Source organism: Homo sapiens, chromosome 16, assembly GCF_000001405.40.
Source record: "Homo sapiens chromosome 16, GRCh38.p14 Primary Assembly".
In the NCBI taxonomy this organism is placed as follows: Eukaryota; Metazoa; Chordata; class Mammalia; order Primates; family Hominidae; genus Homo; species Homo sapiens.
Genome location: NC_000016.10, coordinates 71,037,484 through 71,050,771, shown reverse-complemented (window position 1 = coordinate 71,050,771; position 13,288 = coordinate 71,037,484). Strand labels below are relative to the sequence as shown.

Genomic DNA, 13,288 nt, shown 5'->3' with positions numbered 1-13,288 from the left:
AAAGTTTGCAAATGTATTGGTAAAAAATTATTCCAAATATTGTCTTATGATTTTAAATGCTAAAAAACATGGAGGAAACTTAAATGCATATTACCAACTGAAAGAAGCCAACCTGAAGAGGCTACATATGTATGATTCCAATTGTATGACGTTCTAGAAAAGGCAAAACTATGGAGACAGTAAAAAGATCAGTGGTTGCCAGGGATTAGTGGGAGGGATGGATAAATAGGCAGAGCACAGAGGAATTTTTGGGCTATGAGTCTATTCTGTATCACTCACTAGTTACCAAAATAGTTGGTTGATTTTTTTCTTGTTTTATTTCTTGTATTTCTGTGCTTTTTTGTGGTTATGTTTCTTTCTACTAAATTATGTCTTTCTAATGCTAGAGATCTGTAGTTTACGATGCTTAGTTTAGCTGAGCATATGATTCTATTTGATGGTTTTTCTCTTTTCTTTCAACTCTTTGAAGATTGACCTCTGGCATTAATTGTTGGTGATAAAAATTTTGCTGTTAGTCTGATTATTGTTCCTTTATAAGTAACTTGTCTTTTCTCACTAGTTGCTCTTAAGACTATGTTTTTATCCTTGATTTTCTTAAATTTTCTCTTTAATATATCAGAGGATTTGAGCCTTAAATTCTGGAATGTCTCAGCCATTATCTCTTCAAATGTTTCTTCTCTGACATTCTTTCTGTTACCTTCATTAAGAAAACACACACACACACACCCACACACACACACACACCCCAACCAGTGTGTGTATATTATATATATATTATATATATATATTCTTGTACTATCCTACATGTCTGTTTTTATTTTACTTCTCATATATATTTTTCACCTCTTCATCTCTCTCTGTTGCCTCTTCAGTATGTTTCAATTTGCAAATCCTGTCTGATTTTGGCAAGTCTAAAGTTTATTCCATCTATTTACATTGGCAGTTTAATTTTAATGACTATATTTTTCAATTCCAAGATTTGTAATTGGTTATAGCCGCTTATTCTTGAGTCTTACCTCACTGCTATGGTTTCACAATCTTTGTTTTATGTATATTCTCCTATTCTGTATCTCTTTAAGAATCTCGGGTGCATTTTCTAATCAATTTCAGTTTGCACTATTGATTGTTCCAGAATGAATTCATTACCTGATTGTTTGCAGCTGTTCTTCTGAGCATTTGGAATTTTAAATTATAAATCAATCTGATATGGAGGATGTTTCTTTCTCCTTCTCAGTGCTCACACCTTCTTTTCTAGCATTTTTACATTTGCCTTCAGCCTAGACAGTGACCACTAATCCAGAATCAAATTTGGGCTTCTCCTCCCATGGGGATGTTGGAGAAATCACAGATTCAGTCACTGCAGTGGCCAGTGGCTTGGCCTCAGGTTTGTCTACATAGCAGTCTCTACTTTAACACCACCACGTCCACCACCACTGGCACAGTCTGTGTATAAGGTATAGCTTCAGGAACATCACAACTTTGTTCAGCCTTCTTTCAAATGCGGGGAGGCTGTCTTAGCAGGGGACATTAGGCCTCATTCCTTGCTTCCTGCAGGATCATTTTCGTTCCTGTTTTTCTTTCTCAAGCTGCCTCTACTGGTTTCAGAACCTAGAGCCCAGTAGGTCTGTAGGTTCGGGCCTCTCTATTGTTTCTGTTCTACTTGTGGCCCATATGATGTTTATCTTGGTTTGGAGTAAAGCTATACCTAGTTTTTCATTTTTTCAAAATTGCGCCTCTTTTTCTATGTAAGGGACATGTTTTAAAGCTTCAACTCGTTGATTTATAGTCAGCCCTCTTAACTACTTTTTAGTGTTTTGGGTATTATCACATGAACACTTACAAAAGGATGGTAAAATGTGTTTTCAGTTGGCATAAGAGAGCAGAGTTCTTTTTTTAACTTTTACTTTAGATTCAGGGGTACATGTGCAGGTTTGTTATATAGGAAAATTATGTGTCGTGGGGATTTGGTGTACAGATTATTTTGTCACCCAGGTAATAAAATAATACCCAATAGATAGTTTTTTGACCTTCTCTCTCCTTCCACCCTCCACCTCAAGTAGGTTCCAGAATCTTTTGTTCCCTTCTTTGTGTCTATGCGTACTCAATGTTTAGCTCCCACTTACATGTGGTATTTGGTTTTCTGTTCCTACATTTTTTATCTTTGCCTTAATAGTGAAACATCTATAAAAGAAACTCACATGCATATCAAAACAGTGAGATAGCATCTCACCCCAGTTAGGATGTCTATTATTAAAAGGACAAAAAATAGCAAATACTGGCAATAATGCTGAGAAAAGTGAGCTTTTATCCACTCTTAGTAGGAATGTAAATTAGTACAGCTACTATTGAAAATAATATGGAGACTGCTCAAAAAACTAAAAATAGAACTATCCTATGATCCAGCAATCCCACTACTGGGTACTTATCCACAGGGAAGGAGATCAGTGTTGTAGAGATGGCTGCACCCACATTCTTACTGCAGCACTACTCACAAAAGCCAAGATGTGGAACCAACCTAAGTGTCCATCAACAGATGAATGGATAAAGAAAATGTGATATATATATACAGTATAATACTACTCAGGCGTAAAAAGAAATGAGATCCTGTTAATTCCAGCAGCATAGATGAGCCTGGAGGATATTACATTAAGTGAAATAAGCCAGGCACAGAAAGATAAATACCACATGTTCTCACTCATATGTGGGAGCTAAAAGAAAATTGAGATCATAGAAGTAGAGAGTAAAATTGTGGCCACAGAGGATAAGAAGGGTAGAGGGGAGGTGGAGAAAGGAGAGGTTGGTTAACAGATACAAAATTACAACTAGATAAGAGGAATAAGCTCTAGTGTTCTATAGCACTGTGGGGTGACTGGTTAACAATATTGTATTGTATATTTTCAAATAGCTAGAACGTGAATGTTGTCAACCCAAAGAATGATAAATGTCTGAGGAGCTGGATATGCTAATTACCCTGATTTGATCATTGCACATTGTATACATGTATCAAAGTATCACTCTGTACTCCATAAATATGCACAATTATTACATGTCAAATAAAAAGGAAAAATATATCATTTAAAAAAGAAACTGACAGGAATAAGGGAATAAGAAGAGAAGAAAATTCTAGTTTATCTTGGTGGGCATCTATTCTTTTGCCACATAAAAGTCATGGTCATTCCAAAATGGATTGGGTTCTTCCTGAGCCATCTGAAGTGACCCGTTTAGTGCCAAAGAGGATAACAGTGATACCAGTAATAATAGTATTAAGAGACTTCCAGAAGCAAAGGTTTGTGCTTAACAGAGAGCTGTGAGCCCCTCACCCCCACCCCCAACCCCACCTGAGACCTTTTTCATTTTGCCAAAGCTTAATGTAAAACCCAAAAGATAGATTCCAGCAGTTTATATTGATTATAAACCACACTGAGAGAAAGAAAGCTATTGATAGAGTGTTACTTAACATGATGATGGGTCAGCACCTTCCTTGAATTTAGAATGAAAGCTCTACTGATTGAATATGATTCATCTGAGAATAATATGAAGCCAAAATTAAAGGAGGGAGTTTGGTTTCCTTGTCACTAAGGGCTGTTCAGAAGACAAAAGGAAAATACCTTGGTCTCCTGCATTCCTTGCAAGCCTGTCCATCTTCATTTTGTCCATCTCAGCTCTTAATTAGTTTTTTAAAAATATTTTTTCCAACTAAATTATACAGCTAGCACCTATCATTACAAAAGGAAATTAAGGTAAAACTTCCTTTTATGGATCTGTTGTGGGTTTTATTTAAATCCCACCTTCTCTCCCCCATAAAAATTTATGTTTCTTCCCCATTACCAGCATCATCATCAACTCGATTTATGTCCCTTTTAAGAGATGGCTGTCATGGTCATTATCAACTAAAGCATTGACTCTTCCTGTTTTGTGCACTGATAGTATACAGTCATATTCAACATTAAGCCAGTACAAAATCAAATAAATGTTTTTATGTAATGAAGAAAAACAAGAAGAAATACATTAAGTAGCATAGTATAGAGATTTATTAATGATATTAAATCCCCTACACACATCCATCTAGATTATATGATGTTTATCAAGGAAAAAATTTTATTCTACCTCTGTTTCGTTTTCTCTTCCCTGTCACAAACGAAAGGACAGAGACTGAAGAAGTGTATGTGACATGATAAAACTCTTTGTAGGATGGCACCTGGAGTATGTCTTCTTTTAATGTCAGTTGCAATGAAATTGCATGCAACAATAAGTTTTGTGCTTTGGAAGGAAAAAATCTCCCTCTGGGGTGTTAGGACATTGAATTGGGATGCATCCGGGAGGGAAGGGCAACATTATATGAGGGCAGACATGATCATGTGCCATGCACAGTTGCCTTACATATGTAGTCATTCAACAAGCAGTTATTCAGTGTATGAGTACTGAGATAGTATACTGTACCATCAAAAGTGAGGATGTTGTTTTCAGACAGATCTGAAATTGTCCTGGTTCTGCATTCACTAACTCTAGGCAAGTTATTTAACCTTTCTGAGCCTTTGGTTCCTTCTCTTTAAATGGAACTAATAATGGCATTTAGGAGATTAAATATGCAAATATATGTAAAAAGTACCTGTTGAAAAAAAGCATTCAACAAATGGTAGCTTTGATTATTAATGTTGACAGACAAAAAGAGCCAAGTGAAATGGCTTGTGAAAAGACATAACTTTTTGTGACACTACATTTGAAGGTCTTTTATTTTTCTCAGATAAGGAAAAGGAAAAGAAATAAGGGACACTCAGAGAGGCCTTAAGGTTTAGAACAAACTGATCCACGTAGTACAGATGTCTGTGAAATGGGAGCTCTAATGCTGTCTTTTCCATACTCTTGACTTGTTTCTCTTAATTTTTGACAGTGAAGCCATCTTATAAAATATAAAACATCTGTATTGATGAGTGTACATATGTCCTTCCATAACAAAGAAAATGGGTTTATTAAGAAATAATTTGCTATTTAGAAAATTTAGGTCCATTAACTTTCTGATTTTCTATCTTGAAGCTTACTTGTTTGTAAAGATGCTTCCTAGCACTGTGTAAATCATGCCTGTGTGCTCAGGAGCTGTCCTGTTTCCTTTTATTTAACCATCTTTCCTTTTATTTTAACCATCATGCCTTGCATTTGATCTGACACCTTTCACTGAGTCTTGAGAAGGTGATGACTCTCAAAAGATGATGGTCTTTGTTCAAGGATGCTAAGCTAGTAACCTAAAAGATTATTGGTACATATTACTTGAAAACAATATGAATTAGATATACTTGCCTCCCCAATAATCAAAGTCCATTAACCTCATAATTTTTACAGACTACTTTTTCAACAAATAGAGAAATCAAGCAGTAGAACAATTGCTTGACCAAAAGGGACTCTTAGCACATCAGGGTTCAAGGCCTTTCTATTTAATCTGTCATTCCAAACTATTTCCCTCTAAGAACAAGGAGAAAAGCTGGACAAAATGAGAAAATCATGAGTTTGAGAAACTGGGGAGCAACAAAGCTAGTGACAACACAAAAGGAAAAAACCAAGAGATGTATGCCCAGCATTTAGGACTGCTTTTCCTATATGGCTCCAGAAGACATTGAAAAGTTAAAAGTAGCTTTCTAAAGACCTACATGTCCAGGGAGATAAAAATTGGAGTCAAGTCAGGCTAGGGAGATAAAAATTAGAAGAGGATGGGCTCTGGTAAAATGTCTGGACTTTTGGTTGGGACTCTGAAAGGATGCACACTAGGAACAAGGATAAACTAGAACAGACCCTCAATTCAAATCATGCCAATCTCTGCCTGAAAGATGGAAATTCTAGTTCCCCCAACAGCTTTCCCAGAAGCAAACCTGTATCATCACCGGAAGAAGAAAACTTTATTCTAGGCCTCAAAGTACCTCTACAATTTGTATATACAATATCCAATGGTTAGTCTTAAAATAACCAGGCATATAAGGAGACAAGACAACTTAGTAGAAAACTAAAATATGCTCAATATGTTCAATGAAATAAAAAGTAAATTTTAGAAATGCGATGGCGTTCTGGAGACTATAAAAAAGAACAAATGAGAATTATAGACCTGAAAAATATGATTGAAATTAAAGACTCAATAGATGGATTAAACTGTATATTAGACCCAGATGAGTAGAGTCTTGTGGAAGTCAAAGATAGGTCTGAAGAAACTACCCAAAATGAAACCTGCAGAGATAAAAGGATGAGAAATACAGAATAGATGATAAAGCAAACAAACATGGGGGGTATGGTTATTGGAGTTACCAGAGAAGAGGCGAGATGAGGAAGAATAGATAAAGGCTGAGACCAAGCTATCAAAATGCATTATGAAAACCAGGCAAGATAAAACCACAAAACCACATCTAGGCACATTCTTGTAAAGATGCTGAAGACCAAAGAGTAAATCTTAAAGCATCAGGGAAAAAAGGTTTTTTCCCTTAAAAGGAATAATATTAAACTGAGAGCTGATTTCACAGACACTGCTGAGGGCAGGATACCATTATGAAAACAAATGAACTACAAAAAAGTCTTCACACTGAAAGGTACAATTCCAGCGCCCTTCTCCCCCAATTCTCAGAATATGGCCAGAAAATTGGAAGGTTCTTCTGTGGGCAATTTGACCAGCCACAAGGAAGGGCAGAAATAAACTGTTAGTTGGGCATCTAAAATGTCTGGTGGCCTTTGGTGGGCTGGCACCCAAGCACACAGAGGCAGGCAGGCTTCCTTGCTTGCTTGCTTTCTTTCTTTCTCTCTCTTTTTCTCTCTCTCTCTCCACCTCTCCCTCTCCCTCTCTCTCTCTCTCTCTTTCTTTCTTTCTTTTTTTTTTAGATGAGGTCTCACTATTTTACCCAGGCTGGTCTTGAGCTCCTGGGCTGAAATAATCCTCCCACCTTGGCCTCCCAAAGTGCTGGGATTACAGGCATGAGCCACTGCACTCAGCCTTAGTGCTTTACTCTTAAACATAAATACTTAACCAGGCTCCACCAAGAAAACCTGTAATGCAGAAGAAAGAAACCAAAAACATAAAAATGAGAACTTGGAGAAAATAAATACAATACAAGAAGAAAGTTTAAAATAAAACAAAATGACAATTAAAAATCTCAGGAAAGTAAAGATGACTTTGTATCCATGAACAAGAGCAGAATGATATTTTTTAAAAGAACAAGAACAAAAGTAAGCTCATAGATACTAAAAATATAATGCCAGAAGTTTAAAATTTGATAGAATATCTGGAAAATAAAATTGAGGAACTATCAGAAAGTAGGAAAAGAAGAAAAAGATTAGGAGAAAGACAAGAAAATGAGGCAGTTTGTTCAGGAGTTCTAAGACGCAATATGTGCTGCAAAAGAGCAGATTCTTAAATGCAGATGAAAAAGTTACCCAAGAAATAATTGAAGGAATGTTTTCAGAACAGAGGAAAGGAATTTACGGAGAAGGTTCATCAAATATGCTGCACGGTGGATGGAAACAGGCCCATGTCGAGGCACACCATAACTAAGTTCCAGAACACTGGACACAAAGAGAAGGCTGCAGAAACTTCCAGATTAAAAAAAAATCATGGTCAAAACCAAAAAAATTATGAACCAGAGTGGCATCAGACTTCTTGACAGAAACACTAGAGGAAAAAAAAAATTACTTTCTGAAGGAAAATAAATCCTAATCTTAAATTCATCATCTAGCCAAAAGACTAACAAAATCTGGGGATAAAATACATTTCAGATATAAAAAAATCTCAAAAAATTTACACTCCACATACCTTTTGTCAGGAGGCCGCTGAAGAGTGCTGTACCACAGTTAGGAAGGCGCGGATTCAGCAAACAGGGGCTCAAACACAGGAGAGAATGCTGAGGGGTGCACAGGATATTGCTGCCTGCCAGTCCTAGGATGCCAGCCACATTGCAGGCCCAGAGGGCAGCCTGTCCAGATGGGAGTTGGAGAACAGGCAGCTCCAGGAGAGATTTGTCTCCAAGAAGATGGAACCTGTGTAGAAGATGCTTCTGAAAGTATTGAGAGGCAATTTGCCTCTTTGGTTGAGAGTTTGGGGATGAGTTTGGATGAATGTGATGTCCATGATAGATACATGAAAACCACATGAAAACAATTCCTGGGAACCTGAACGTTGTATAAGAAGGGAAACGTCGTCATAGACCATTTTTTTATAGCTCAGCTGAGTTTAGTGTTTGCATACTCATGATGGTGCAAGTGCAAATATCTATCTCACCAAAAAGTAAATGTTAACTATATTGGGAGGATGAAGAGAAGAAAGTGAAAGAGAGAGAGAGAGAGAGACATGGAGAGTGGGCAAGAAAAAAGCTATTATTATTTACCATGGGGAAAAATAAATGAATAATGTGCAAACTGAAAACTTAAGAAGTAGCAGTAGAGTACTTAGCAATATAGAGGCAAATCCAAAAAGCAAAGGCTAAAAGAACTGACAGTGGTGGACTGTGTTGACAGGTAAGGATTCGTGCAATGGGAAAAATGGGAGAGTGGATTCCAAGGGCTGCTGCTTTTTACAATATAACTTTTCCAGAACCATTTGGCTTTTGAAATTGTGTGTATGTATACCTTTGATACAAACTTTAAAAATTTAAATCACAGTGCAGAACAGTCTGTAGAGTATTGCACCATTTATGTAAGAAACAACGTATGCAAATATTGATCATAAAGTATATCTGGAAGGATCCTTAGAAAACTGTAACAATGGCTACCTCTGGGGATGGTAACTAGTGACCATGCACTGGCAGAAGAAAAACTCTTCACCCTTTGAATCCATTTGAATGTTACACTGTCTACATGTATTATTTATTTTTTTAAAAGCTTCTAAGAAACAAAGTGGGAATGAGACTGCAGCAAGAGAGCAAACAAAGTTAAAATTAAGTGAGCTCTAAAAAGAGTGACCATATCCTTTTAAGTTGAGTTATTTATTCAATAAATATATATGTGTGTCTCCTTGTTACACAAGTAACATTATCTTTATAGAACAAACAGAAGTTAAAGATAACAAAAAAAATCACTTGTCATCACATCATGCAGATAACCACTATTAAATTTTTGTTGTGTATCTTCTGAATTTTTTATGGTGTGTGTGGTCTGTCTGTATTCCTACTCCCTCCCATGGGACAATACTATTTTGTTACCAGTTATTTTCACTCAACAATGTATTGTAGTCACTTAATATGAATTATTAAGGAATATTCGTCTACAGATCATTTTTACTGGCTAGTTTTATTGCATCATTTGACTCTACCACAGTTGATTTAACTAATCCCCTACTGATAGATTGTTCCCAGTTTTTTACTACTATAAGCAATGCTTGTGTCTTAATTTTGCTGACATCTGTAATTGTTTTCTTTGACTAAATTTCTAGAAATGCCGTTGCTGGGTCAAATGACATGTATGTAACTAAAAGTCTCGATACATCTTGTGAATTCTGTCCCAGAGAACTTGTACAGTTTATGTCCTACCCCCTAGCAGTGTTGAAAAATATCACTCCTAGATTCTTGCTAACATTTTTGTGGATTTTTTCGGCCAAGTCTGACAGATGAAAAAATATTTTGTTGTTATTTAAGTTTGTGTTTATTTGGCTTACTGGTGAGGCTGGACACCTTCCATATATTTACTGACCAACAAATAAATACTACTTTTGAGCCCTTTTCCTATACCTGGTACTAAGGGGAGAGATAAAGGGTAAACAAAATAGTTTCCTTCTTCAAAGAGTTTATAATCTCATAAAAGAAACAAATATACAAACAATACAGCTGGGTTATAATGTGAAGCGCAGAGGAGGACGTGATTCATTCTTCTGTCAGATTTAAGTTTTTCGTGGGTCGGAACATTTGAGTGGAGACTTGAAGGCCAAGGAGAAAAAAAGCAGGAAATGGGGATACGCTTTCTGAGAGCAGCATATTTAAATGCAGATGACACTTGGGACACTTGGGAAAGGTAAATGACCTGGTGTCCCGGAAACTAAGCCTAGAAAATGCAGTGGGGCCCTAAGTCTTATGAAGATTTGGGAGTAGATCCTCCAGACCAGAAGCTCATCTGGTACACCAGTCTGGATTGTGGGCCGCCATGTTTGCAGAGAGTCTGGGTGACTTCTCAAATGGCAGTGAGAGCCTGCCTCCTACCGAGATTCACACAAAATCATGGATTCCCCAGATATAAAAAGTGAGTCCACGTATGGATCAAACAGAAAAAACTGGGATCCCTGAGCTCTGGAACTTGTATGTAAAGTTGTGTGTGTGGGGGGGAGGGGGGTGCGGGGAGGGGGGGTATGTGCATTTTTTGATGAAGGGGTTCCTGGCTTTCTCAAAGAGGATAAAAAGACTCAGTGCCTCTGATCCAGACACTGGAGAGCCATGCAGAATCCCCAGCAGGAGAGCAGCAGGATCAGATCACTGAAAGATAAACCTGTTGAAGCAGGATATTTCCCTGACCCCTTCATGGGACTCACGAAGGGAGTGTGTCCCTTACTCAGCTGCTGCTCTCAACACCTTGCTGGAGGGAGCACGCAAGCGAATGAGGTGGGAACTGGAATGCATGAGTGCTGAAACCAGCCAACCGCATCGGCACCAGCAAGATCAAACTCCACTTACTGGGACCTGCTGCACTCCACCCCTCACAGGTGGGAGTGCACAGGTGAGTGGGTGCAGGAGCCAGAGTGAGCACTCCTGGGTGCCAGCAGGAGCAAACTACATGCAAGCCCTGTGGCAGCATCTTGGGGGCGGTGGGCGGGGGCGGTGCCTGCAATCCCTGAAGCCCCAGAGGGTGTGTTACAGTGCTGTTTCAGCTCTGCCGTCTGTGGACACCTTAGGTGTTAACAGCTCAGTGGGCCCTTTGCCTTGTCGCATGGGGCAGCTGCCCTCTGCCAATGAGGGCAAAGGGCCAGTGTGACAGCCTTTTGTATCTGCACTCAGGGATCCCGAGCTCTGGTCCTGCAGCCAGGAAAAATGAGGTCACATGAACAAATTTAAGGATGGTAAATGTGGGAGATTTAATTGCCGATGAAAGTGGCTCTCAGGGGGAAAGGGATCTGAAAAGGAGATGAGGCAGGTAGGTGATCTTCCCCTGAAGTCCGGCCATCTGCAGCCAGCTTCTTCTCTGAAGTTATGCCATCAAAGTGTCCCCTCTGTAATCCCCAACATCCAGCTGCCTCTCCTCTCTGCTGGCTGAGTCTGGAGTCTTTATAGGCACAGGCTGGGGCATGGGGTGGGGCCATGGGTGGTTAAGGGAAAGGCAACATTCAAGTAGGAAAACAGAGATATAAGTTCTCACTTTGGGCCACAGGTTCCGGCTTTTCAGCTTAAAGGTAGGGTTTCGCCAGGGACCCACCCTTTTCTAGAATTCCTCTGCCCCCCGTCCCTATCACTGTCAACAGTGTAGACTGGGGAGGGTACCAGCAGGAAGGAGAACTGGATGGGAAGTTTGGAAAATAACATTAGTAATGATCACCACTGACTGAGCATGTAATCTATGATAGACGAGGTGCTAGATGCTTAGCACCCTTTTATTTTATCTTCAAGTTAACATTTAACATAAAAGGAAACCGAAACCTAGATTTTAAAATTAGTGCAAGGTCACTTGGCTATGAATGGCAGAGTCCATAGTTGACTACCAGGTCATGAGACTCTCAAGCCCACACTTCTGATTATGACCTTAAATTGCCTCCCGTGTAAAGCTCTACACCATTTCTTCTGCATCTCATCTCCTAATTTTCAGTTAACTTTCTTAAGCAGCAAAGTGACTCGCTTCGGGGAAAAGAACTATGTGACCAGAGACCCCATTTAGAAGACGAACAGGAGAAAGGGCCTGTAATCCCAGCACTTTGGGAGGCTGAGATGGGCAGTTCACTTGAGGTCAGGAGTTAGAGATCAGCCTGGCCAACAGGATGAAACCCTGTCCCTACAAAAAATATAAAAATAAGCCAGGCATGGTGGCACATGCCTGTAATCAGCTACTCTGGAGGCTGAGGCAGGAGAATTGCTTGGACCCAGGAGGCGGAGGTTGCAGTGGTCCGAGATGGCGCCACTGCACTCTAGCCTGGGTGACAGAGTGAGACTTCTTCTCAAAAGAAATTTTTTTAAAAAAAGAGAAATGCCTTGGTGACCCTTCATTGTTCTTGTTCCACATAGTGCCGGTCATCTGCTGAGATAATAGTGTAACTCCAAAGAAATCCCTCACTCTGCACATTGCTTCCTATTGTTATTTGCTCTCTTTATTTCATGGAAGGAGATTCTTGCAGATTTCAACTGGCAAATGAGTTATTTGGAAGAAAAGTGCACAATGCTATTTTCTTCAAGCTTCCTAGTTATTAGCCACACTCCCGGTGATTGTTGCGGTGACATGTGCAAACAATGGTGTTCACTTCTGCCTTTTGTGGCAAATATTAAACACACAATAAGGAAACCTATAAAGCTCTGGCTGCTTTACCTTGGGAGCTGAGCACTGCATAAGTGTGCTGCTGCCGTATTGTCAAATAAAAGGCAAATGTTATCCTTAGATATATGAAACCTCAGAGGGGAGGGCTTAACACTCATCACCAGTGGTCACGGAATTCTGAATTACAAAAGATCGCAAATATTCCATCTTTCGCACAGTCATATTCCCTGCAGGCATGCACATACCTCCTGTACATGTTGTTTACGAGCTGCTCAAACGACTCTGGCTTTCAGGCCCCAGACTGCAGAAAAAGCAAAGGCAGCTATGGCTGACATTTTCATGGAAAGCTTAGGAAGGCTCATTTTTTATCATCTTTGGAACAAATAGATGGAACCCTGTATTAGGTTTCTCTTGCTGGGTAACAAATTATCACAAATATAGCGGCTTAAGGCAATGCTAACTTATGATCTCAGTTTCCGTGGGTAAGGGGTCCAGCCATAGTCAGGCTGGATTCTCTCCTTAGGATCTCAAGAGGCTGAGATCAAGGTTAGCCGAGCTGCATTCCTTTCGGGAGTCTTGGTGAGGGAAAGATCCACTACTGGGCCCCCCAGGTCATTGGCAGAATTTTTTTCCTTGCAGTTGAATGACAGAGTCCCTCAGTTTTTTTGGTGGCCCTCGGTCAGGGACTGCTTTCAGCCACTTTGGAGCCGCTGTTCCTTGCCATGTGGCCCCTCCCATAGGCCCTCTATGCTTGGAATCTTTTCACCAGGAAGAGTATAGTCTGGTTAAGTCACGACCGCTGAGGATAATCTCCCTATCTGAAAGTCAGCTGATTTGGGACCTTACCTACATGTGCTAAATCCCTTCACAGCAACACCTGGAT

At 39.4% G+C, this 13,288-nt stretch overlaps 1 protein-coding gene across 4 annotated transcripts in view, besides 1 other annotated feature; it reads left to right on the top strand.

Moving 5' to 3' along the window:
* Positions 1-13,288, top strand: part of HYDIN (HYDIN axonemal central pair apparatus protein) — a 428,639-nt gene that overhangs the window by 179,951 nt on the left and 235,400 nt on the right. The window lies entirely within an intron of this gene.
* Positions 10,392-10,686: a silencer, noted in NCBI's record as "tiled region #1178; K562 Repressive non-DNase unmatched - State 21:Repr". NCBI's record gives its function as "represses a minimal TATA promoter and a strong SV40 promoter by Sharpr-MPRA in K562 cells {active_cell/tissue: K562}" and the evidence as "EXISTENCE:reporter gene assay evidence [ECO:0000049][PMID:27701403]".